The sequence below is a fragment of the Homo sapiens genome, chromosome 7, assembly GCF_000001405.40.
Source record: "Homo sapiens chromosome 7, GRCh38.p14 Primary Assembly".
In the NCBI taxonomy this organism is placed as follows: Eukaryota; Metazoa; Chordata; class Mammalia; order Primates; family Hominidae; genus Homo; species Homo sapiens.
The window spans coordinates 131,002,667-131,025,531 of record NC_000007.14 but is presented as its reverse complement, the minus strand read 5'-3'; the positions used below and the strand labels follow the sequence as shown (position 1 = coordinate 131,025,531).

The following is a 22,865-nucleotide window of genomic DNA, read 5'->3' as shown; positions in this document are numbered from 1 at the left end:
CAATCATTTGAATTTTTTTGGATGCCCCAGTTGTTTTCCTTCTGTCACCAACAACTTTGGGACTTCCCTACTGCAGAATTGTCGCATATTAAGTAGGAGACCTCAGTTGTTATGGAGTTTTTCTCCTCCCTAGATACCTAGATCTGTGAAAGAAATCCACATAGCAAACGCTTGTCTAGAGCTACATCTCTGGACATTTTTTTTCCTTTTTCTGTAGCAATAGTGAAAAATTTCTTATTCTTACAGTCCAAATATATGTAAGTGTACTTAATTCTTAAGAAGTTTATTTTGACACTGACATTTTAGTGGTATTGATGATACAGTTCTACCTTTAATTTTATTTGTTTTTTTTTTTAATCATTAGAGATGGGGTCTCACTGTGTTGCCGTGGCTGGTCTTGAACTCTTGGGCTCAAACAGTCCTCTTGCCTCAACCCCCAAGGTGCTGCACCCTTAATTTTAACTTGTTTCATTTAAGTTACATATTTGAAATGTCAGACTGTACTTTATGAACTGCCTTAAATTACTTTTCAAACAAGATGGGTTATAAATAAGGTGATGCTTTGGCCTATTATTTTTAATATCTACATTTTTACTTTTTTGTGAGATAAAAACTAATGGGGCTGGGCACAGTGGCTCACACCTATAATCCTAGCACTTTGGGAGACCCAGAGAGGCGGATTGCTTGAGCCTAGGAATTCAAGACCAGCCTGGGCAACATGGTAAAACCTTGTATCTACAAAAAAAATACAAAAATTAGCTGGGCTTGGTGGTACCCACCTGTAGTCCCAGCTACAGGGACAGCTGAGATGGGAGGATTGATTGAGTCCAGGATGTTGAGGCTGCAGTGGGCACCACTGCACTTCAGCCTGGATGACAGAGAGAGAACCTGTCTCAGAAAAAAAAAAAAAAAAAACTGATCAATTGATGCATGCATTTATTCACTATACTAGGCACTGCGGATACAGAGATTAAGACCTAGTCCCCATTTTAAAGGTGCAGACAAATCTGAAAGGAGAGACGTGCAAATGCATATCATGATACTAATAGCAAAAACTTCAGTAGCACTTACTATATGGAAGGTGCTGTTCTAACTACTTTCTGGGCATTAGCTCATGAGTGGATAAATAGCCTGATGAAGTTCTTACTGTTATTTTCTCCATTTTATACATAAGTAAGTTGAGACCCAGAGAGATTAAGTGCTTGCCCAAGGTTACAAAGTTTGCTATGGTTGACATTTGAGTGTATTAAGTGCAATAACAGAGCTATCCATAGAGTGCTATGGCAGAACAGGGGAGCATTCAGTTGGGAAAATGGAAAACAGAGGTGTGGATATCAATTAAATTTTCCCAAAGGAGACAAGATGATTCAGAGGAGCAGAAGAGCTAAACTTCCCCATGAAATACCTCTAGTAACATAAAACGATGCATCATATATGAGACTGTAAGTTAAATGAGTGACAAAATATTGGAAGACCAGGAGACAGTAAAAATATACCAGATCCCTGCATCTCCAGTACAAATGACAAGGAAATAGATTTCTAATTTTGAGGCAAAACTTTGTTTCCAGTTGGTATAAGATATAATAAACACTTGGCATTAAAAAATTAATAAAAATTACTTATACCCTGTAAGCTTGTGGGTAAATGTGTGATCCTTTTTGAAAGCCTTAAGATAGATTTTCCATTCATTGAAGATTTTACTTGGAAAACCTGTAGAAATAGTATTTATTTGGTATAAAGGCAGGGGAAAGATTGATGTGCATCTTCCAGATTAAAAATTGGCAGGAATGACCTGATCAGGTAGATTAGTTTTAACATTACAGAGATGTAACTGTTCAGAAGGTGGGATTGGTGGCACGCATTCTTGTCATGGCTGTCCTGGATCATTGCTTTTCCCCCCTCGTGTGATAACCCTCCTCTTTGGAGCATCAGCCATGGGTAAGACACATCCTTTTGTCCACCTTGTAACTGTGCTCTGCTGACTTTCCCATCACTCCTACTCATCATTAATGACTGGCTCATTGCTTGCCACCCTGCTTCAGCTTCATTAGACAACCCATCTGTTTCTGTGACTGCTTGGGTTTTGGGTTTGTATTAGTCTGCTGCTAATAAAGACATACCCAAGACTGGATAATTTATAAAGAAAAGGGGTTTAATTGACTCACAGTTCTGCATGGCTGGGGAGGCCTCAGGAACCTTACAGTTATGGTGGAAGGCTCCTCTTCACAGGGCGGCAGGAGAGAGAATGAGTGCTGAGCAAAGGGGGAAGCCCCTTATAAAACCATCAGATCTCGTGGGAACTCACCATCATGAGAACAGCCTGGGGGAAACTGTCCCCATGATTCAGTTACCTCCACCTGGCCCCACCCTTGACACGTGGGGATTAGTAAAATTCAAGGTGAGATTTGCGTGGAGACATAGAACAAAACCGTATCGGGCTCCTCATCACCAGTGATCTTCTCAGCTGCTCTCAAACCCTCCAGTCTTTAGACCTTGTCTACTTACAGCTCAGATCAGCAAGTCAGAAATTTGAGGCCAGGTACAGTGGTTCACACCTGTAATCCCAACACTTTGGGAGACTGAGGCGGGAAGATCACTTGAGGCCAGGAGTTAGAGACCAGCCCGGGCAACATAGTGAGACTCTGCCGCTACAAAAAATTTTTAAAAATTAACCAGGCTGGCTGGGCACGGTGGCTCACACCTGTAATCCCAGCACTTTGGGAGGCTGAGGTGGGCAGATCATGAGGTCAGGAGTTCGAGACCAGCCTGGCCAGCATGGTGAAACACTGTCTCTACTAAAAATACAGAAAATTAGCTGGGCATGGTGACATGCACCTGTAATCCCAGCTACTCGGGAGGCTGAGGCAGGAGAATCGCTTGAACCCAGGAGGCGGAGGTTGCAGTGAGCCGAGATCATGCCACTGCACTCCATCGTGGGCGATAGAGCAAGACTCTGTCTCAAAAATAAATTAATAAATAAATAAATAATAATAAAAATAACCAGGCCTGGTGGCAAATGCCTGTAGTTCTAACTACTCAAGAGGCTGAGGCAGGAGGATTACTTACCCAAGGAGTTAGAGGCTACAGTGAGCTATGATGATGCCACCACACTCTAGCCTGGGTGACAGGATGAGGCTGTCTCTAAAAATAAATTAATAAATAAAAGAAATTCCCTATTCGCCCACTTCTTCGTGCCCATCCACCTTGCCACAAAAATTTATTCCCCACCTGTACCTACATTAAGACCTGTAGTCTGCTGTTTCCTTTACTTGGTGCCTTATCCATCAGTTTCTTCCCACTTTTATTTCCCTTCTTTTTTTTGAGACAGGATCTCACTCTGTCTCACAGGCAAGAGTCTATAGCCTTGACCTTTCAAGCTAAGCGATCCTCCCACTTCAGTCTCCTGGGTAGCTGGGATTACAGACACGTGCCACCATGCCCGGCTAATTTTTTTTTTCTTGGTATTTCCTGTAGAGGCAGGGTTTTGCTGTGTTGCCCAAGCTGCTCCTGAACCGCTGGGCTCAAGTGATCTGTCTGCCTCGGCCTCCCGAAGTGCTGGGATTACAGCCGTGAGCTACTGCACCCGGCCTATTTTCTTTCTTATACAACCTAGAATCCAGGGTCTGGACTGTAAATCACTCTCTAGACAAAGCCCCCCATTTCCTGATCATTTGATTCTTTTGCTCATACCTGGGCTGCCAAGCACTGTGGGAGAAAATCATACACCTGGGCAGATTGGTACCGGTGCATGTCAATTTCAGGCAATCACTTTGGCACTATGCAGTAATTGTATATGTTACTCTGGTTAGCTGTCACTCTTAGGTTTCATAGTGACTGTTACAAGCCAAGCCCACTCTCTTCAGACTTGTTCCTGCTTCTCTTCCCCGCTTCCTCTTCACAGATGATCCAATTTTCCACTTCATAGAGCCTAGCGAGGCTGTCACACAGGAGATACCGCACCTCCTTGCCACCGCACTTCAAAACTTAAAATATCCCCCTCTGCCCTCATCCTCACTCAGCAGCCTGTTTCTTCTCTCCTTTGCATGCAGACTTGGTGAAGGGTTTCTGCAGGTCATCTTCTTCCTTGCCTTCCCATGCACTGCACTCCTGCAGTAGGTCCCTCCATCCCACCTGCCACTGGGTCCCTGCCTGGTCCTTGGCCTCCAAACCTGACAACCCCCTGGTTTTTATGTCTCTCTCCCTGCCCTTTCTTTTAGTTGTCTTTGTTGATTTCATCTCTGTCAAATTGACTTCTGTCAACAGGCACGCACAGATGTCTGTTTTCTCTTTTAACTATAGCAAAACAATTTTGGGCTTCTGTTCTCTTCCTTCTGCTGGAGGATCGGAGTCTGTTGCAGAGTGAGCGGCACCTGGCTCTTTTGTGCTGCATGAATTCGGGCACTTGCATGGGCCCTAGGACTTCTCACTATCATCTTAGCTGAATGCTGTGCCAGGCCATATACAGTAACCGCGTCTCTTAGCTGCTGAGCAGTTCTACACGCTGCAGAAATAGTACCCTAGAGTTTATTCTGCACACATGGATGGGGGGATGTTTGACTGGCATCTTTCAGATTAGAAATGGGCAGGAATTTCCCTGATAGACTGGTTTCACCATTACAGTATTCTGAAAGTGTGGTCCTCTGCAAGGCTCAGCAGTGCCTATGAGAATTATCAAGGTGCACTGAAGTGGCAGTTTTGGCCCCCTCTTTTTTTTTTTTTTTTTTTTTTGAGATAAGGTCTTGCTCGGTCACCCAGGCTAGAGTGCAGTGGTGCAGATCATAGTCCCCTGAAGCCTTGACCTCCTGGGCTCAAATGATCTTCCTGCCTCAGCCTCCTGAGTAGCTGGGACTACAGGTGCATGACACCACACCTGCCTATTTTTGAAATTTTTTTGTAGAGACAGGGTCTCGCTAAGTTGCCCAGGCTTGTCTGGAGCTCCTGTTGGCCTCTCCCTCTGCCAAGCCTCAGATCTGTTCTATTTAATGCCTCTGCATCACTGATTCTCTTCTTCACTGTGGAAGGGTTGCTGCCCACTTCCCTCCTGCTCCTTCAAAGCCTACCTCTACTCATCTTGTTACTCCTCTCGTTTTCTTTCCTCTTGTCTTATCTCTTCAGTTGACTTTCACGTCAAAATCTGAACATTTAGTAGGCATAATTCATTGATTTATGTTCCCGAGCTGGGCATTTGGGGATGGAAAGATTATGAGAATGACACAGCACTGCCCTTCAGGTGATCCTAAGAGAGAAACATCTCAATGTAGAATTCCAGTAGAATATAGTAAAGACTGCTACAGTCTATGCTGAGCATTTTATTTACATAATTTTATATAATCTCTATTTTTTATTTTTTTGATACGGAGTCTTGCTCAGGCTGGAGTGCAGTGGTATGATCTCAGCTCACTGCAATCTCTGCTTCTTGGGTTCAAGCAATTCTCCTGCCTCAGCCTCCTGAGTAGCTGGGACTACCGGCACCCACCACCACACCTGGCTAATTTTTGTATTTTTCCTAGGGATGGGGTTTCCCCATATTGGCCAGGCTGGTCTTGAACTTCTGACCTCAGGTGATCCGCCTGCCTCAGCTTCCCAAAGTATTGGGATTACAGGTGTGAGCCACTCTGTACCTGACCAGATAATCTTTAAAAATCTCCTCAAGACTGCCGGGGCTATCCTCATTTTACAGAGGAGGAAACCGAGGCTATGAGAAGTGAAGTCGTTTGCTCAAGGTCACTTAAACAGCAAGTCACAGAGTGGGAAATACAGTCTAGGTCTGGTGAGGCTGCAAAGCTCATGCTCTTAACTCCTGTTAGTACAAGTACAGTTTTCTGCTCTCCCACATCACCTTTTTCAAAGGGCTGATTAGATAAACAGTAGAATTCAAGTCCTAAGAATAGACTATTTACATATTGAATATTAGCTTTAAGTTTATAGTGAGGTGTTGGAGAAGTAACTAGCTAAAAGTCATTTGTGTAGTGCTGGGTTTTTTCTCCATTGGTTACGGTATGATTACTAGTAATGCAGCATCCTTAGTCTGCCTGAAAATTATACTAGCCTCATTTATTTTGTAATGCATTTGTTATAACTATGTTTCTCATTGGTAATACATTTCTAGCAAAATATTGTATTTGCCTACTGCTACCTTAAAAGCTAACTTCAAACTTAAGTCTTAAAATATTTCACAGCTTTGAAATTTTAAGTGACTTACAGCCGAAGGAGGAAAAAAGGGTTATCTATCGTGGAAGGTATGTAGGAACCACTTTATAGATCGCTAAAGATAATTTAGTCCGATTTAATCTATTACACTTATCAGGAAACTAGCACCTCTGCATCCTTCTGGGGAACCTAAAATGCTTATATCCAGGGCCTGGCACTAGTGATGTGAACCTGGATTCAGTTCTTTTTGGAGCGCTTCCATGTTATATGTTCTGACCGTCATAGTACTGTCTCCCAGTTTGACTGCTTTTGCTTCTGTTGTTTTACTCCAGACAAGGAATTCACAGTAGATGGTTCTGAGGGATGGTTCTATGAGAATTATTTATTAATTGATCTAATAAGTATGTATTGAGCACTCCTACCAACCAGGCCTGGCTCTGAGTGCTAGGGATGTGGTGGGGCACAGAACAGCATTGCTGCCTGTTTGAGCTTTTGCCCTAGTGGGTAGGGGGCACCCAGTAAACATGGGGTGCCATGTCAGGTTGTGATAAATGCTGTGAAGAGGTGCAAAGCCAAGTAGAGGGATAGAGAGTCACGTTTCGCTAAGTCTCCAGGCCTCTCCGAGCAGGTGACAGTTAGAGGAAGAGCGTTCCAGGCAGGGGGAATCACACCCTGGGGTGAGAGAGTGCTGGGCAGGTCAAAGGAGCACCTCTGTCAGCCCTCGTGTCACTGGAGCAGAGTGGGCAACAAAGGACAGAGCATTTGGAAATGGAATTGGAAAGGTACCCAGGGGTCAGTCCATGCAAGCCTGATGGGCTGTGATGGGCAGTTTAGATTTGACTCCCAGTGGCCTGAGAGGCCCTTCCTGGACAGGGGAAAGGTGTGTTAGGACTTTTAATTGTAAAGGGTTACTGGATGCTATGGGGGCAGCGGGAGTGTGCTGGGGACAAGAGTGGAAGTGTGGTGTGGCCCAAGTGAGCGGGGTGGTCCAGGTGGGTAGGTGGTGGCTGAGACAGGGTTAGTAGCATTGGGAGTTGGAAGAAAGGGTTAGATTGGGGATGTTGAAGATAAAGCTGGTATAATTTGTTGATAGCTCGGTTGTAGGGTATGAGAGAAAGAAGAACCAAGGATAATTCCAAGACTTTTAGACTGAACAACTAGGTAAAGGGAAGTGCTATCTACTGAAATGGGGAAAGTGAGGGATGTGCAAGGTGAATAGGAGGAGATGTTGGCAGGTGTTCCATGAAAAAAGGATTTCGTAGTCAAATTTATTTTGGAAACATGGTTCTAGAGCATGACCAGGGGCTGGAGTAGAGGTGGCAGAGGTGGCAGAGAGAGGGCTGAAGAAACCCATTTGTCTTTATCCCCCTACTTTCACCTCCTTACTACTAATATTCCTACCAGGGGTTGCTGTATGAGGGTGTAATAAGGGAGAACAATCAGCTAATTCCACTATTTCAGCCATTTGTCAGTTTAGTCAAACAATGGGTTGGTGATATTAATTGACCATAATCATAATGATTGCACCCATTGTCCAGATAGGTCCAGCCACTGTGTTTGATTGAAGCAGAGCAATCAAGTTTCCAGTCAAAGTCTCTTGAGGAATTTTTTCACCACTGCAGACAAGGAGCATAGCATTAACCCACAATGTTGAATTCCAGTAGGATGCTGAGTGAAAGTTCCTTGTGGGGAATATGGTAGGAAATAGCAGAACAAGATGAAAAAATATTCACAGAGAAAAACTCCAGAGCAACAGCTGGATCTGTGGCTGTGTTGGAAACATAAAGTGTTGGAGAGGTTAGGCGAGTTCCCTCATGGTCCCTAGGGTTCAGGACAAATTCTACAAGGCTTGTTAGGGAAAAGGAAATCTTACAAAGCTTGGTTGAGAACAGGGAGGAAGGCGGTCCACCAGGGCAGTTCTGTGTGACTGATGGAATGTTGCCCCTGACATTCATTCATTCATTCATTCATTCATTCATTCATTCATTATTTGAGACAGAATTTCTCTCTTGTCGCCCAGGCTGGAGTGCAATGGCGCGATCTTGGCTCACTGCAACCTCTGCCTCCTGGGTTCAAGTGATTCTCCTGCCTCAGCCTCCTGAGTAGCTGGGATTACAGGCACGCACCACAACACCCAGCTAATTTTTGTATTTTTAGTAGAGACGGGATTTCACCATGTTGTCTGGGCTGGTCTTGAACTCCTGACCTCAGGTGATCCACCTGCCTTGGCTCCCAAAGTGCTGGGATTACAGGCATGAGCCACTACGCCTGGCCTTATTTTTAATAGGTTTTTGAAGGCAAAATCCACATAACATAAAATCAGCCATTTTGAAGTGAATAATTCAATGGCATTTCAGTACCTTCACAATGTTGTACAGCTACCCTTCTGTCTAGTTCCAAAGCCTCTTTATCCCCTCACAAAAGAAACCCTGTTTCCATTAAGCAATCAGTCCCTATTTTTCCCTCTCCTCACCCCCTGGCAACCACCCTAATCTTTTTTTTATGGGGAACAAGAAAGCAGCTTTGACCGTGGGTGAACATAAAGGCTGCTTAGGATCGGGATATATGGATTTGGGATGGCTGTTTGCAGGCATTGCTTGGGAATGCCAGCATCCCTGTACCTGGAGACCTCAGTATCTGTGGGAAACCCCGGTATCCCCACACTCAGAGTGGAGGAAGCCACTGGGCTTGTGGGAAGCTGAGCTTGAATATGACCTCTTCCACTGGAATAAAGTGCCTTTGGCTTCCAAAGGAAAGAGCTGGGAGAGGCTAGTTGGTTGAGGCAACCCAGAGGGAGCTTCTGGGACCATTTTAAGGTAGTTCAGCTCCTTGCAGCACAGCAATGAACAATGAACAAGTATGGTTAAAGGTAACAAGGGAAGTGTCATTTCCAGCTTGCCTAGCATGGATTTGGCACCTCCATTCATTTGTTGGGGTCATCAAGAGATTGTGTAAACATGAGGACTTTGAATCACTAGTACATTGTTTCACACTGGAATTTATAATAGCCTAAGGTCCAGATACTTGGTTGCATATCTGCTTGGTTGGAAATGCCATTGTTCCAGCTATTCAAGAACCAGGCCAGGCACGGTGCCTCACACCTGTAATCCCAGCACTTTGGGAAGTTGAGGCAGGAGGATCACTTGAGGCCAACAGTTTCAGACCAGCTTGGGCAACACGGCAAGACCCTGTCTCTACCAAAACAAAACAAAACAAAACACAACCAGATTTCAGATGCCTAATGTTTCCATAGTACTTATTAAGCTAAGCGAATGGAGTGGAGAAAAATACAGAAAGGAGAAGGAATCTTTGATTTTTCCCTTTCTCCTTCTGTAATGGACTGAATGTTTTTGTCTTCCCCCAAAATCCCTATATTGAAGGCCTGACTCCCAATGCGATGGTATTTGGATGTGGAACTTTTGGGAGGCAATGAGGTTTTCATGAGGTCATGTAGGTAGGGCCCCCATATTGGGATTTGTGTCCTTATAAGAAGAAGGGAGACCCAAGTGCTCCGTCTCTCCCTGCCTTGTAAGGGCACAGCAGGCCAGGAGGAAAGCCCTCACCAGGAACCACATCTGCCGGCCCCTTGATCTTGAACTTCCAGCCTCCAGAACTGTGAGAAATAAATTCCTTTTGTCTGTGTCACCCAGTTGATGGTATTTTGTTAGAACAGCCCACGCTGGCTAAGATACCTCCCCTTTTTATCTGTTTGTTTAATGCATTGTACATGCCAGTTGTACACAATTAAATAAGTAGATCCAAGCAACACAGTGGTATTTAAAGTAAGTAAAAGTTTATTTTCTTCCCTCCAGTCATAATCCCTGGGAGGTAGCCATTTTAAGTTTGGGGTTTGTTTAGTCTTCTCGCACCATCTCATAAGGTAGTCATTAGCCACTTGTGGCTGTTTGAATTTAAACTAATTAAAATGAAATATAGTTAACCATTGAGTTCCTCAGTCACACTAGCCATATTTCAAGTGTGCCATGGCCACATGTGGCTGGTGGCTGCCGTGATGAACAGTGCAGACATAGAACGTTTCCATTCTTACAAAGTGTCCTGTTAGACAGCAGTGTTCTAGAGGAATTGTATTCCTATACAAACATATACACTGACATGGTTGGCATAACATTGTACATACCGTTCTGCAGTTTGTTTTTTTCGCCTAACAGGGAAACTGTTAATTTAGTGTGATCCACATGCAACGTCATGCCAGGAAAAATGTAAAACAGAATGCATAATCAAACATAGAGTTTGGGTAAATTAAAATTATTTTAATTTCAAATTTTAGAGGTAATTGCAACATAACTTGATGCTTGTTCCAACTTTAACTAAACAAATTATTTTTGGAACTGGTCCACTCAGCCTTGCATATGTTAAGAAAGACAATTCTTAGGAGATGTGCTTGGGCGTAATCTGCTAGGCTTACCCTATATATTCATACACAGTTCCTGTTATTCCTCTGTTTTATAAGAAGAGTTGGTATCTTTTTCTGACTTCCCACAATTCAGTGACCGCTAGGCACATGTGGCTATTTACATTTGAATCCGTATTTTAAATTAAACTGAAACATTCCTCAGTTGTACTAGATGTGAAGTACTCCTTAGTCCTTTGTGGTTGGTAGCTCTGGTGTTGGATAGCATGGATGGGGACATCTCCACTGTTGCAGAAGGCTCTGTTACACAGTGCCGCACTTGGTTCAGTTACATCTGTCGTTAAATGCAGTGACTTTCCACAGGAGAGAGATGGGAGAAGCGATAACTCCCAGGGAGGACATCGTGAAATTTCTGTGATTGGATGGAGAGCTTGCATCTTCATTCCCTTCCCACTTGAAGTTCTGATGCTTTTCTCGGAAGACATGTCTTCCAGCTGTCTGTTGAGAATTAGTGTTCCATAGTAAGTTAATTGTGGGAAAGAAAATTGGTGCCAATAGCTTTTCAGGGTTGGACTATTACTGATAATTGGTGAGGTCCATACATAGTTAAACAGCACCTATATATAACGGTAAATGCTGCTGTTCAATTTCGGCTCCAGAGCGTTTAGTAACATTAGTTACAGCAAGTGCTGATGATTACATTGAAGCTTTGTAAAATGATAAAAAATTAGAATATTGGAAATGCATTCTGTATTGTGTGCAAAACAGCATGTATTTATGCCACCTTTTATGGTTAGGAAATACGTAATCTAGAAAGATTCACAAGAAACAGAATACTTTGCTCTGGGAATGGAAACAGTACAAGAAGACTGGTGAAAAAGATTGACTTTCACCGTATACGTGTTGCTTCATATACTTTGTAAATATATGCTTGTTTTAGTAGTAGAAAAAAATCAATCAAATAATGAAGGAGAAATAAAACACATTCTTAAAATGTGCAGGATGCAGAATAGGTCATTTAGGAAACTAGGGTCACGTAGGACAGAAAGAATTGCACGGTTGAGTGAGAGCGTAGGGCTGGCTGCTTGTGGCCAGAGCGTAAACCCGCACGAGGCCGCTGGGCACACCTTCTCCTGACGCCGGCCCAGCATTTCTTAGCTTCTGGCTATTCTGCAACAATTAAAGCTTTAAAACTGTTTTTCTTACATAAATGTAATACGTTTTAGGAAAAAAGTATTTCTAGTACTGATTTTTTTTTTTTTAAATACAACCCTTTTTAACACTTGTAGAACACAACTTAGGAAATGCTGATTGAAACTCTTGGAAATAATTAGAACAGAAAGATGAGATTGAAAAGAAATTATTTTAGGTCTGGGTCACCCTGATTTAGCACCAGTCTGAGGCAGGAGAATGGCGTGAACCAGGGAGGCAGAGCTTGCAGTGAGCCAAGATTGCGCCACTGCACTCCAGCCTGAGGACAGCCTGAGGGCGACAGAGCAAGACTCCATCTCAAAAAAGAAAAGAAAATGAATCTTAGCGTTAATTGAGTTTAAGTCAAATTGTGACGCATTGTGGCTTATTCGGCACAGCCTGCTCACAGATAAGCCACATGTGCATTGAAGGTTCTCTTAAAAGTCCACACTGCTCTTTCTCCTCCCCCATCCTTGGCTGACAGGTACTGTCAGTGAGGAAGAGGTGGGAAGGACAGCAGGGTGGGGACGTAGACAGTGGAGACAGTGGCTTTCTTCCACCACCACGCCTCCGTACTTGTGCGTCCAGGAGACAGCAGCATCAAGATGGAGTGCCTGTAGAGTTAACGGTGAAGTGTTCCTTTTTGAAAACTGAACCCTGTAATTCAGCAAAATTAATTTTTCTGTTAAAGCAAGTTGCTGGGCTCTGTACCTTTTCAGGAAAGAAAACTAATCAGTTTGGGGAAAATGTATGTCCCAAACAGCATGTGCTATTAAGGAAATCTTGTTTGTTGTGGAAATTTAAGGCAGAGCTTCCCAAAGGCAAGGGTAATTTGCAAAATATTTAACTACTAGGACAGCATGGGAATCCAGTCATTCAGGGCGGATGCCAGCTCAAATAACTGGCATGCTGTACCAGTGCCTACAGGCTGAATGTTACTCCTCCTGGAAGCTGAAGCCACTGGAGATAGGAGATGAGCCATTACTGGGTTTTGTGGCAGAGCCTGCTGGTTGGCCCCCAGTGTCCATACTCCTGCTTTATATAGCAACCTGAGACCTACTTCATAGCTGGGGCCGTGGCAGCTATATGGTCATGTGACTAAATTCTGGTCAGTGGGAGGTGAGTTACCACGTGGGCCCTTCCAGGAACCTTCCTTAAGGGACAGTGTGTCTTCCTGCTTTGCCGTTTCTTCTCCGTCCCTTTCCCGTTCTGTCTGGAATGTGGAAGCCACCATCTTGAACCGTGAGGTTGAGGTCACACATGGGTGGACTGCCATGCTAACCTTCCTGGGCACTTCCCTGAGAAGGAAACTTCTCTTGTTTAAGCCACTGATATTTTGGGTCTCCTGCCACCCTGAGCCAAACCTAATTCTAATTAATGTAGGTTCCAATCTGCTAGGCAAGTTCAGCTTGATGTTACTTAAAACTTAACCATCCTGTGAGCTGGGTATTTCTGTTTTCCTTTAATGGCTTACGGGACTGGGATTAAAGAAAAATTAAGTAACTTGCCTCAGTACTTCCCAGCCAGCTAGGACAGCATTTGAATCCCTGTCTGACCTTTCTGAATTCCAGTCTCCAAAAGTTTAATCCTTGCTGTAGTGATTAACATGAAACTGAAGGAGGGCATGTGACACATGGTTTTGCAACATTCACGTTTTGGCAGAGCCCCAATTTTGTGGAATTTTTTTTTTTTTTTTTTATAAAGACGTTGGGTTTTTCAGAGAAATTCATTTGTGGCTTTTTGAAAGTGACAAACATGTTAACTGTATTTCAGTCAATAATACTTATCAGAAAAGCTTTTTTTTTGTTTCAAAGAATCCCACGTGGTTCCTCTAATTTCTAGTATTAATTGTAGTTCGCTAATTAGGAGAGTTCTGTGAAAAGAAAATAGTTGGAAGAGAGACTGTGGTTCATTTTCTTTAGTTATATCTACATTGGAGAACATTTCAAGACAATTAGGAATTTTTTTTTTTTTTTTTTTAGAATTCTCTATGCAATAATTCCAAAATGTTACCAATATTTATTACATGATTATGTAGAAATTAGGATGATAGTGGAATTAAGGCCATAAATTGTTCGGATTGTGACATGGGAGCAGCCACTGCAGCCAGTGTTTCTGCAAAGTTTAGTCAGAGGAGAACAGAGACCTAGGATGGCCCCGTGCTGTGCTGCTGGGGCCTGGGAGGCTGGGTGTTGGGGAAGGAAGCTGGCAGCGGATGCCTGGAAGGCCAGTGGGGCCCAGCAGGTCTGGGGAGGTGGCTAAATGGGGCCCAGTGCAAACTAGTAGCTGGCAGCAGAACCTGCAGTGGAGTCGAGGGTCTTGATCTGCAGCCAAGGCTCCTTCTGGTGGGGCCCTGAGTGGCCCTTCAAGTCCATTCATTTTTGTCCTCAGAGTGGAACACTTAATTGGCCACAAGCACAGCAAACTCCCAGTTGTTCCCGGGAACACAAGATCTGCAGGATTTGCCCTATGAAAAAGGATGCTGTGGCAACTAAGTTTGGGAAAATGCTCTGTTGTAATACCTCTCCTAGCAACTCACATGCCCTCTTAGCACTGTAAAAGTCTAGGATGTTGAGAAATTTGTTTAACTTTATTTAACCCAGTTTCTGAAACTGACTTAAACATGGAAATCAAATCTTTTTTTTTTTAATGTGATGACCCGTGGAACTACTACGTGCATTTTCTGACAAGCAGTTAACAGTGCTCTCGGAAATAGTTGTGTGAGTAGGTTGAGTTCCTGAGAAGACGCTAGATTTGAATCTGAGAGTCTGGGACTTTTCTTGCTGTCCTACTTGCTTTTATTTGCCAATCTATATTGTCTACACTTGAGTGTGCTTGCTCATACGTATTTCACAGAAGCAAAACTTTGATACTTGAGAGGCCCTTTGAGGTCATCTAGTTCTGCCTTCTCATTTGCTGGTTGAAGAAACTAAGGAAGGTTAAGTCACTTGCCAGAGGCCAGTAAGTGAGTATGCTGGAGCCATTCAGTGTGCCATTAGTCAATCTGAAGTGGAAATTACTTGAGTTAGTTCCTTACTTTCAAGACTTTCATACTGATATCTTGAGATTAGGATGGGATAAGAATGAAAGCATTGCTGTTGGATTTCCTGCCAAGGTTTGGGATGGGTAAAATGAGCAAAAGAAAGTGCCCTGGGTATAGATGGTGCTTAATAATAGGACTGCTGCAGAGGAAAGCAAGAATCCAGATCAAGACTGCCCCCCAAAATTAACTTATTTGTGTGTCTAAGAATGACTTAAAATAGGCTCCTATTGCAAAAGAATGTAGGAAGTGCGGTGGTGCAATCACGGCTCACTGTAACCTCGACCTCCCAGGTTCAAGCGATCCTCCCATCTTAGACTCCCAGGTTCATTCATTTTTGTCCTCAGAGTGGAACACTTAATTGGCCACAAGCACAGCAAATTCCCACAGGTGTGCACCACCACGACCGCCTAATTTTTTTTATTGGTAGCGACAGGGTCTCTCTGTGTTGTTCAGGCTGATCTCCAAGTCCTGGACTCAAGCTGTCCTTCTGCCTCGGCCTCCCAAAGTGTTGGGATTACAAGCATGAGCCACTGCGCCCAGCTGCTTCTGAGTGGCTCCTAAGCAATGAACTGATGAACAACTAAACAGATGACATTGTAGCTATTGCCACATTTCATAGCATGGCGACTACCTTGAGCCTGTCAGTGCTCATTAGCTGCAGGAGGTAACGCTTGTTTGTTTTTCATAGAGTTAAAGGTATGAAAGCATGTTTTTTGGAACTTTCTGCAAGGCCCATGTTATTGACGTCCTTAAGATCCAAATTATTTTGCATTAACTTAGGTTTTTTTCTCTTTCTTGGTGAAGTTAGTAGACCCTTGCTTATTGATTGGTATATGAAATTGGATCATTTTATTGTTGTGAGAGGTTCAGTTTTATTAAATATCAGAGTATCACCTTTCATACATTTTTTGGAGCTAATTTTGAGTGTTTTTCTTGTATTTTATGAAATACTATCTATAGTCATCTAACGAAACAATGCTGTTTTTCTGTTACAAAGCTTTCTGTTCACGTGTCTACATTTGAAGTTACTGCATTCAGAATGAAAGCCATACATCTGACCTCACAATGTAAGGATATTCAGTTTTCTTCCTGATAGCCTAGAAGAAGGAAAAGAATCACAAGGTTGTAGCATTGCCCTGTTTCTGTTAGACAAGAGAAGTCCTCTAATGGCAAACCCTTGATGGTGTGCAGTTTCCAAAGTCTGGTCCCCGTTGGAGCCTCTCACCTCCCATAGAGTTAAAGAGAGATTTGCCTCAGCAACTGGACCATAGCCATCAATGTCTATTGAAACTCCAAGAATAAGTTTAAATTAAACCAAACATGCAGAAGATGAGAAAATAAGTCTTATTTCTAAAAATAGGAGGCTTCCCCCCCCCCACCCCCCAATGGCTGTAGACCTGAGGGCTTTTAGTAAGTAATAATGAACTTTTACAGTAACTGTAATTTGAGTCAGATAGTTTTTCTCTGATTTATGCTACCAGAGTGACTCATGAGGGCACAGCATTTTAGAGGCTCTTTCTGAGACAGAAAATGTCTCTGACTTTTGTCAAGTAAGTAATTATTGATGTAGCGTGAGGATCTTATAATCTAGAAGAAAAAATTATTTATTTTCATATGCCTATTAATTTTCCATCTGTTGAACTGAAGCCAGGGAGAGATGAATGCACAAAGCTGCTTCACCCTTCTGCTTCCTCCCAGGCTGAGTCTCTACTTCGTGTGTCCCCTCTCGCTCCTGGAGTCCCCAGTCAGCTCTTAGAGGAATCCTTGGGAACCTTGTTCACATGATACTAAATGACAAAACCTTTTTTGACCTTTCCCCCTACAGACAGACCTTCCTCTAGTGTCTTTGTCCAAGGTTGAATGATTGCACTTATTACACTCGAGTGGAATTATTTACTTACATGTCTCTGTCCCTTTCTAGAGAGTGACTTCCTTAGAGCAGGGCCTGGGTGGTCTTGATTTTGTATTTTAGGTAGGACCAAGCACAGCGTCTGAAACACACAGTAAGCCTTTAGTAATTGTGAAAGTGAACTTCTCCACATAACAAAATAGTGCTTTGGAATTTCTTTTCATTATACTGCAGTGATTTTTGTCTTTTTGACTTCAAAGTCACTCGCTCTCAGAATTGAAAAAATTGAAAGAAATGATAGTATTCTTCATCATTCCTTTTATGAGTCTAGTGGACTCTCTAGTCTTCACAAACATAGGACTGATAACTTGTTTTATATTAATATTTTGTTGTATAAATACCTGTATATTTTGTGTTACTGTGTGACAAAACTGAGTCTAAAATATGTGGCTAGAAAATCTAAGAAACCAAGATGAGAATCTTCAATGATTTGTAGATTATGTCATCTTTATATCATCATGGTGTGAGGTGTTTTCTTGGATTGAGTTCCGCTGAGACAGAGATGTATGTTATCTGTTTGGAAGGTGAAAGAAACATTTTAAGGGAAGCGAGATAGGGAAACAATTGGAGCCTAACTTTGCTGGACACTCTGGGAGCCAGTGTAAGGACCAGGCCTCAGTGTTAGCCCACATGGGTCACTTACACATCAGCTTTGGCCAGTTGCTGACTGAGAGGCAGCAGCGGGGTGCGGCATCAATTTCCAGTGCTTTGCCTGCCATGTGGGCCCCATCCGTGCTCATGGTACCGCCCTCCAGCGGAGCGATGGCAGCCAGCTGCCCGTGGAGAGCCCAGCAGCAAGCCCAGAAATAAGGCCCAGGGACTAGGGGTGGGGGCAGGTGGTGTCAGGCAAATTTGTGTGCTTGCTTATTTGATGTTTCAGTCTCAGTCCTTTGAATCGTGAATTATCAAGATAGAGACTATTTGAAACATTTAAGAATTAGAGAAAAATAATAAGCACAGTATTTTCTTCTACTTGAACTGGGGCCGTTCTTCCTTCAAGAGGGAGAAGCTTACGAAAGATTATTCTGCCTGAGGAGACCTCGCCACCCCCTGCTTGAACTTTGGTCCCTGATCAATTCTGCCTTTGAATTCCTCCAATTATTATAAAGTTCTTCCTTATATTGAGTAGAAGTCTGCCTTATGGTGATACGTTGTATTTCTCAGACACGGACCCGGAAGTGGCGCCTTCCAATTCCTCCTCCTCTTCTTTTCTCTTTCGTCAGCAGATGGCGTCTTCCTTCTCTTTTTCTTTCTTTCCTCCCTCCTCTCTCCCCACCCTTGGCAAACATTTGTCACCAGGATGGATGCTGTTAGAAAAACGTCTCCCTGTGACATGTTGTCTTTTCAAAAGGACAAGAAGGAAAGGAGGAAACAGGTTTTCATTGCTTAAGGCACATTAAAACTGGCTGGTTCTCTCTAGCACATTTCTTAGACAAACACCCGTTTTCCTTTAGACTCAGAGCTGATATGTTATTGTAACAGTTAAGTTTGCCTTTACATTTTTATTCATGCTGCCTTGCAGGTAGATGGTTCCTTTTGACTTTTTTACGTAGATGGGCACCTTTTGTTAATTTTACCTTTTTAAAATACAAATGTAGGCCAGATGCAGTGGCTCACACCTGTAATCCCAGCACTTTGAGAGACCAAGGTGGGTGGATCACTTGAGGCCAGGAGTTCGAGACCAGCCTGACCAACATGGTGAAACCCCGTCTCTACTAAAAATACAGAAATTAGCTGGGCGTGGTGGTGCATGCTTGTAATCCCAGCTACTCGGAAGGCTGAGGCAGGACAATTGCATGAACCCAGGAGGGAGAGGTTACAGTGAGCCGAGATCATGCCACTGCACTCCAGCCTGGGTGACACAGCAAGACTTGTCTCAAAAAAAAAAAAAAAAAGTATTTTCTAGAGAAAAATCTTTTGATGTACAGATAAATAGATTAAAATGGATTTGTACTTAGTTTTGGGAGTAAAACTGGTAAGACAGTGATTTGGCCTAATCACTTTGAATGCAGACATCGCTGGACACATGAAGATTTAAAATTGGGCAGAGAAAAAACTGGGCAATTTTTTTTTCACCTAGATTCTTCCAGTATTATGGGCAGAGAATACATACAACTTAGTGAAAGATTGTTAGTGACTAGAAGGATTTAATTCACATATATTGTAAAACCAGACTGCATGTGGAACAAACTGTGTGTTTGAACTAATTAAGTATTCAAAGAAATATTTAATATTTCTTATTCACCCACCTTGCCCCCTTTTCTCCTCCTTTCTCGATCAGTAAATATTTACTGGATGTTTCCAGAATGTGAATGTTGCATAAAAACAAGTATATGAAATTGTCTTTGCTATCAAGGATAATATAACTGAACGTAATATATTAGCCCACTTTGCTGCTTTAGGAAGAATACTAAGGTGAGCCCAGTTTAATCTTTAACATATTGTTACCTCTCATTTCTGCTTGTTCAAATCCAAGCTGCAACTCAGTGCCATCTTCTTCATGATTATCTTTACTCCTACCCCTCTCTACCTCCATTCCCCCAAAAAGTGATCTCATACTCCTGTGAGCATCCTTAGCATTTATGCAGTCTTTTCTTTTTTTTTTTTTTTTATTATTATACTTTAAGGTTTAGGGTACATGTGCACAATGTGCAGGTTAGTTACATATGTACATGTGCCATGCTGGTGCGCTGCACCCACTAACTCATCATCTAGCATTAGGTATATCTCCCAATGCTATCCCTCCCCTCCCCCCACCCCACAACAGTCCCCAGAGTGTGATGTTCCCCTTCCTGTGTCCATATGTTCTCATTGTTCAATTCCCACCCATGAGTGAAAATATGCGGTGTTTGGTTTTTTGTTCTTGCGATAGTTTACTGAGAATGATGATTTCCAATTTCATCCATGTCCCTACAAAGGACATGAACTCATCATTTTTTATGGCTGCATAGTATTCCATGGTGTATATGTGCCACATTTTCTTAATCCAGTCTATCATTGTTGGACATTTGGGTTGGTTCCAAGTCTTTGCTATTGTGAATAGTTATGCACTCTTTTCTTGGACTTTGCTCTTTCTCCTTTGTCGTATAGTTATATTATAGTTGTTGACCTTGGGCTATCTTCATTCCTAACGTTCTCATTCTAGTACCTTGTGTAGAAATGCTGTTCACTAAATGACATATCGAATGGGTATTAAATTTATTATTAAGTGCCTTGGCTCTTAATTGGTCAGGCTTGGATTTCAGTCTCAGCTCTGCCATTTACTATCTCTGTGATTTTGGCCAAGTATTAACCTCTCTAAATTTCAGTTTGCTATTCTGCAAAATGGGAATGATGATAATGACTACTTGAAGGAGACTTTGTGAAGATGGATGATTTTTGCAACAGTGTAGGTAAGAGATAGTGCCTGGGCATAGTAGTGCTTGGTAAATTTGGGTGTGTGTCTACATGCTTTTCCAGGCTATATGCACAGACACACAGACACACATAGTGTATGTGCAGGATGCTAGGCACTAGAAGAAAGATGAAACCACACAAATCCTATGCTCATGTTGCTTAAAGAAGAAATAAAACTGTGTAAGGTAGAGGTGAGGTGTGGTGACTCACACCTGTAATCCCAGCGCTTAGGAAGGCTGAGGTGGGAGGATTGCTTGAGCCCAGGAGTTCAAGACCAGCCTGGGCAATATAGTGAGACCCCATCTCTACAAAAATTTTTTTAAAAAAATAGCCGGTCATGGTGGCACATGCTGGTGGTCCCAGCTACTCGGGAAGTTGAGGTGGGAGGATTGCTTGAGCTCGGGAGTTAAAAGCTGCAGTGAGCCGAGATCACTCCCCTGCACTATGGCCTGGGCAACAGAGCGAGACCCTGTCTTCAAAACAAAGCCAAAAAAACCGTGTAGGGTGGAAAATGATGGCACTGTTGGAGCAGCAAAGATGGAGTGCTGTGGGAGTTCACTTCTTTCTCCCAGAGATTGCGCTAGGCAAGGTATGGTTTATGGGAAGTTTTAATGCAAAAGGTGGCAGTTGTGCAGAAAGCAGAAAAGTGGGTAAAGCTTGAATGAGTGGAGATGGAGGCAAGAGAGACAGAGAAATAGTAAAAATATATATTTTTTATCTTTTCAAAAACTTGTTGTACATTGGAATTTTCCAGTCAAAGGCTGAGATTGGAGATGGATATCCCCACTGGTCTGCAAGTCATTTTATAGACTTGCCAAGTGCCTGTGTGGGTTCTCAGATGGCCTACTGTCTTTGGTCCGAGTGTGGTAGCTGTCAGGTCAGAAATGAGGAAGTGCACCAGGACTCCAGCTTTGGTAGTCTGTAGCACTGTGTTGGGTATATTTCCCACAGATATGGAAAAGGGGAAGATGTAACTTGGTAATCATCTCTAAAGATATGTCATCAAGAAGCTTTTCAGCTTAATTGTTAAATATTCAAATATAGGCCAGGTGTGGTAGTTCATGTGTGTAATTCTAGTACTTTGGGAGGCTGAGGTGGGTGGATCATTTGAGGTTAGGAGTTCAAGACCATCCTGACCAATGTGGTGAAACATCATCTCTACTAAAAATACAAAAATTAGCTGGGCATGGTGGTATGCGCCTGTAATCCCAGCTACTCGGGAGGCTGAGGCAGGAGAATTGCATGAACCTGAGAGGCGGAGGTTGCAGTAAGCCAAGATCACACCACTGCACTCCAGCCTGGGCAACAGAGCGAGACTCTGTCTCAGCAACAACAACAAAAAATTAAATATAATAGAAGCTCTCTCATCAAGTATGAGTAAACCATTGAAAAAAATATGTGCAATGTTTTGTACTCCAGCCTGGGCAACAGAGCGGGACTCTGTCTCAACAACAGCAACAAAAAATTAAAAATAATATAAAGAAGCTCTCTCATATTGTGTATATACAGATTTTTCTAAGTAATTTGAAGTAGATAGGGAATAAGAGGATCAAGTATGAGTAAACCATTGAAAAAATAATGGAATGTTTTGTGCTTGTTGCGCATTGTATCGTCCAAATTCAAGTGTGGACTTTAATCTCCAGTCTACAGTCCGTCCATAAGGTTAATCTCAGTGATTCCAGTTGGCATAAAAATCTACCGCTCACACTAGTAAACTAACAAGTTTGCCCTTCTTCTCCCACCTTCAAATGCCACCCCCAATTCTTACACTGTTTAAATAGGAAATTGGGAAGCATTTATTTTTTTCCCAGGTTCAGCAATCCCATTTTGACTGTAAACTAAAGTTAGAAAGAAGAGTTTAGTGGTATATCCTCTGACAGACTAGATTGCTGGTCCTATCAATTACTAGCTGTATAAGCTTAGGTAGGTCATTTTCCAGAGAATTCTGTTTACTTATCAGTGTTACTAGGCTAGTAAGACCTGTTTCCCTAGAAAACATAGATTCTTAACCTGGCGTTCATAGATGGTCTTCCTTAAAACTACATGTATAAAGCTAAGAATGGTGGTGCACATCTATAGTCCCAGCTACTTGGGAGGCTGAAGTGGGAGTATTGCTTGAGCCCAAGAGTTCAAGATGAGCCTGGACAACATAGCCAGACCCTATCTCTTAAAAAAAACAAAAAATAAAAATAAATTTAAAAAAATATGTAGTTATGTGTTTCTGGGACCATTATCTTTTTTTTTTTTTTTTGGATTCTCAGAGGGAATTCTCCCCTGCTCCCCCCAAATTAAGAATCTCTGCCTTAGAAGTTAGTGTGCATTTGATAAGCCATAATAGATAGAAAATGCTGTACTAATGTAAAATGCAGCATTATTTCAAGTAGATTATAATGACTCCCTCCTTAGACCATTTAATGTTCTCTTAAGTATGAGCTTATCTTTTGTAGGTCATAAACAGAAAGTAGAAAAAAAAATCTACAAAAGAATTTAAAAATCTAAATAAACCTAGACTTATTTGAAGTCTCTTGCATTCTAAGGCAGATACCGTTTCCTAGTTGTTTGGATTGTCTATTACTATATAACACACCACCCTAAAACTTACCACATTCATACAACTATCATTTTATTTGCTCATTAGTCTGTGAGTTGGCTAGGGCTCAGGTGGATGGTTCTTCTGCTGGTCTCTCTGATTATCTAGAGTGGTTACAGTAAGATAGTGACTGGGGCTGAAATATCCAAGACAGTTCACATGTCCAACACCTTAATGGGGATAGTGGAGAGGTTTTGACCTCTCTATCTACATG

At 42.5% G+C, this 22,865-nt stretch overlaps 1 long non-coding RNA gene across 10 annotated transcripts in view, besides 5 other annotated features; it reads left to right on the top strand.

The window, feature by feature from the left end:
* LINC-PINT (long intergenic non-protein coding RNA, p53 induced transcript) overlaps positions 1 to 22,865 on the top strand; it is a 232,364-nt gene that overhangs the window by 84,394 nt on the left and 125,105 nt on the right. The gene's annotated exons all lie outside the window — the stretch shown is intronic.
* Positions 4,026 to 4,205: an enhancer, noted in NCBI's record as "active region_26665". NCBI's record gives its function as "activates an Ori minimal core promoter by ATAC-STARR-seq in GM12878 lymphoblastoid cells {active_cell/tissue: GM12878}" and the evidence as "EXISTENCE:reporter gene assay evidence [ECO:0000049][PMID:35858748]".
* Positions 4,568 to 4,862: a silencer, noted in NCBI's record as "tiled region #13565; HepG2 Repressive non-DNase unmatched - State 19:H4K20". NCBI's record gives its function as "represses a minimal TATA promoter and a strong SV40 promoter by Sharpr-MPRA in HepG2 cells {active_cell/tissue: HepG2}" and the evidence as "EXISTENCE:reporter gene assay evidence [ECO:0000049][PMID:27701403]".
* Positions 15,930 to 16,059: an enhancer, noted in NCBI's record as "active region_26664". NCBI's record gives its function as "activates an Ori minimal core promoter by ATAC-STARR-seq in GM12878 lymphoblastoid cells {active_cell/tissue: GM12878}" and the evidence as "EXISTENCE:reporter gene assay evidence [ECO:0000049][PMID:35858748]".
* Positions 16,090 to 16,139: an enhancer, noted in NCBI's record as "active region_26663". NCBI's record gives its function as "activates an Ori minimal core promoter by ATAC-STARR-seq in GM12878 lymphoblastoid cells {active_cell/tissue: GM12878}" and the evidence as "EXISTENCE:reporter gene assay evidence [ECO:0000049][PMID:35858748]".
* Positions 17,809 to 17,908: an enhancer, noted in NCBI's record as "active region_26662". NCBI's record gives its function as "activates an Ori minimal core promoter by ATAC-STARR-seq in GM12878 lymphoblastoid cells {active_cell/tissue: GM12878}" and the evidence as "EXISTENCE:reporter gene assay evidence [ECO:0000049][PMID:35858748]".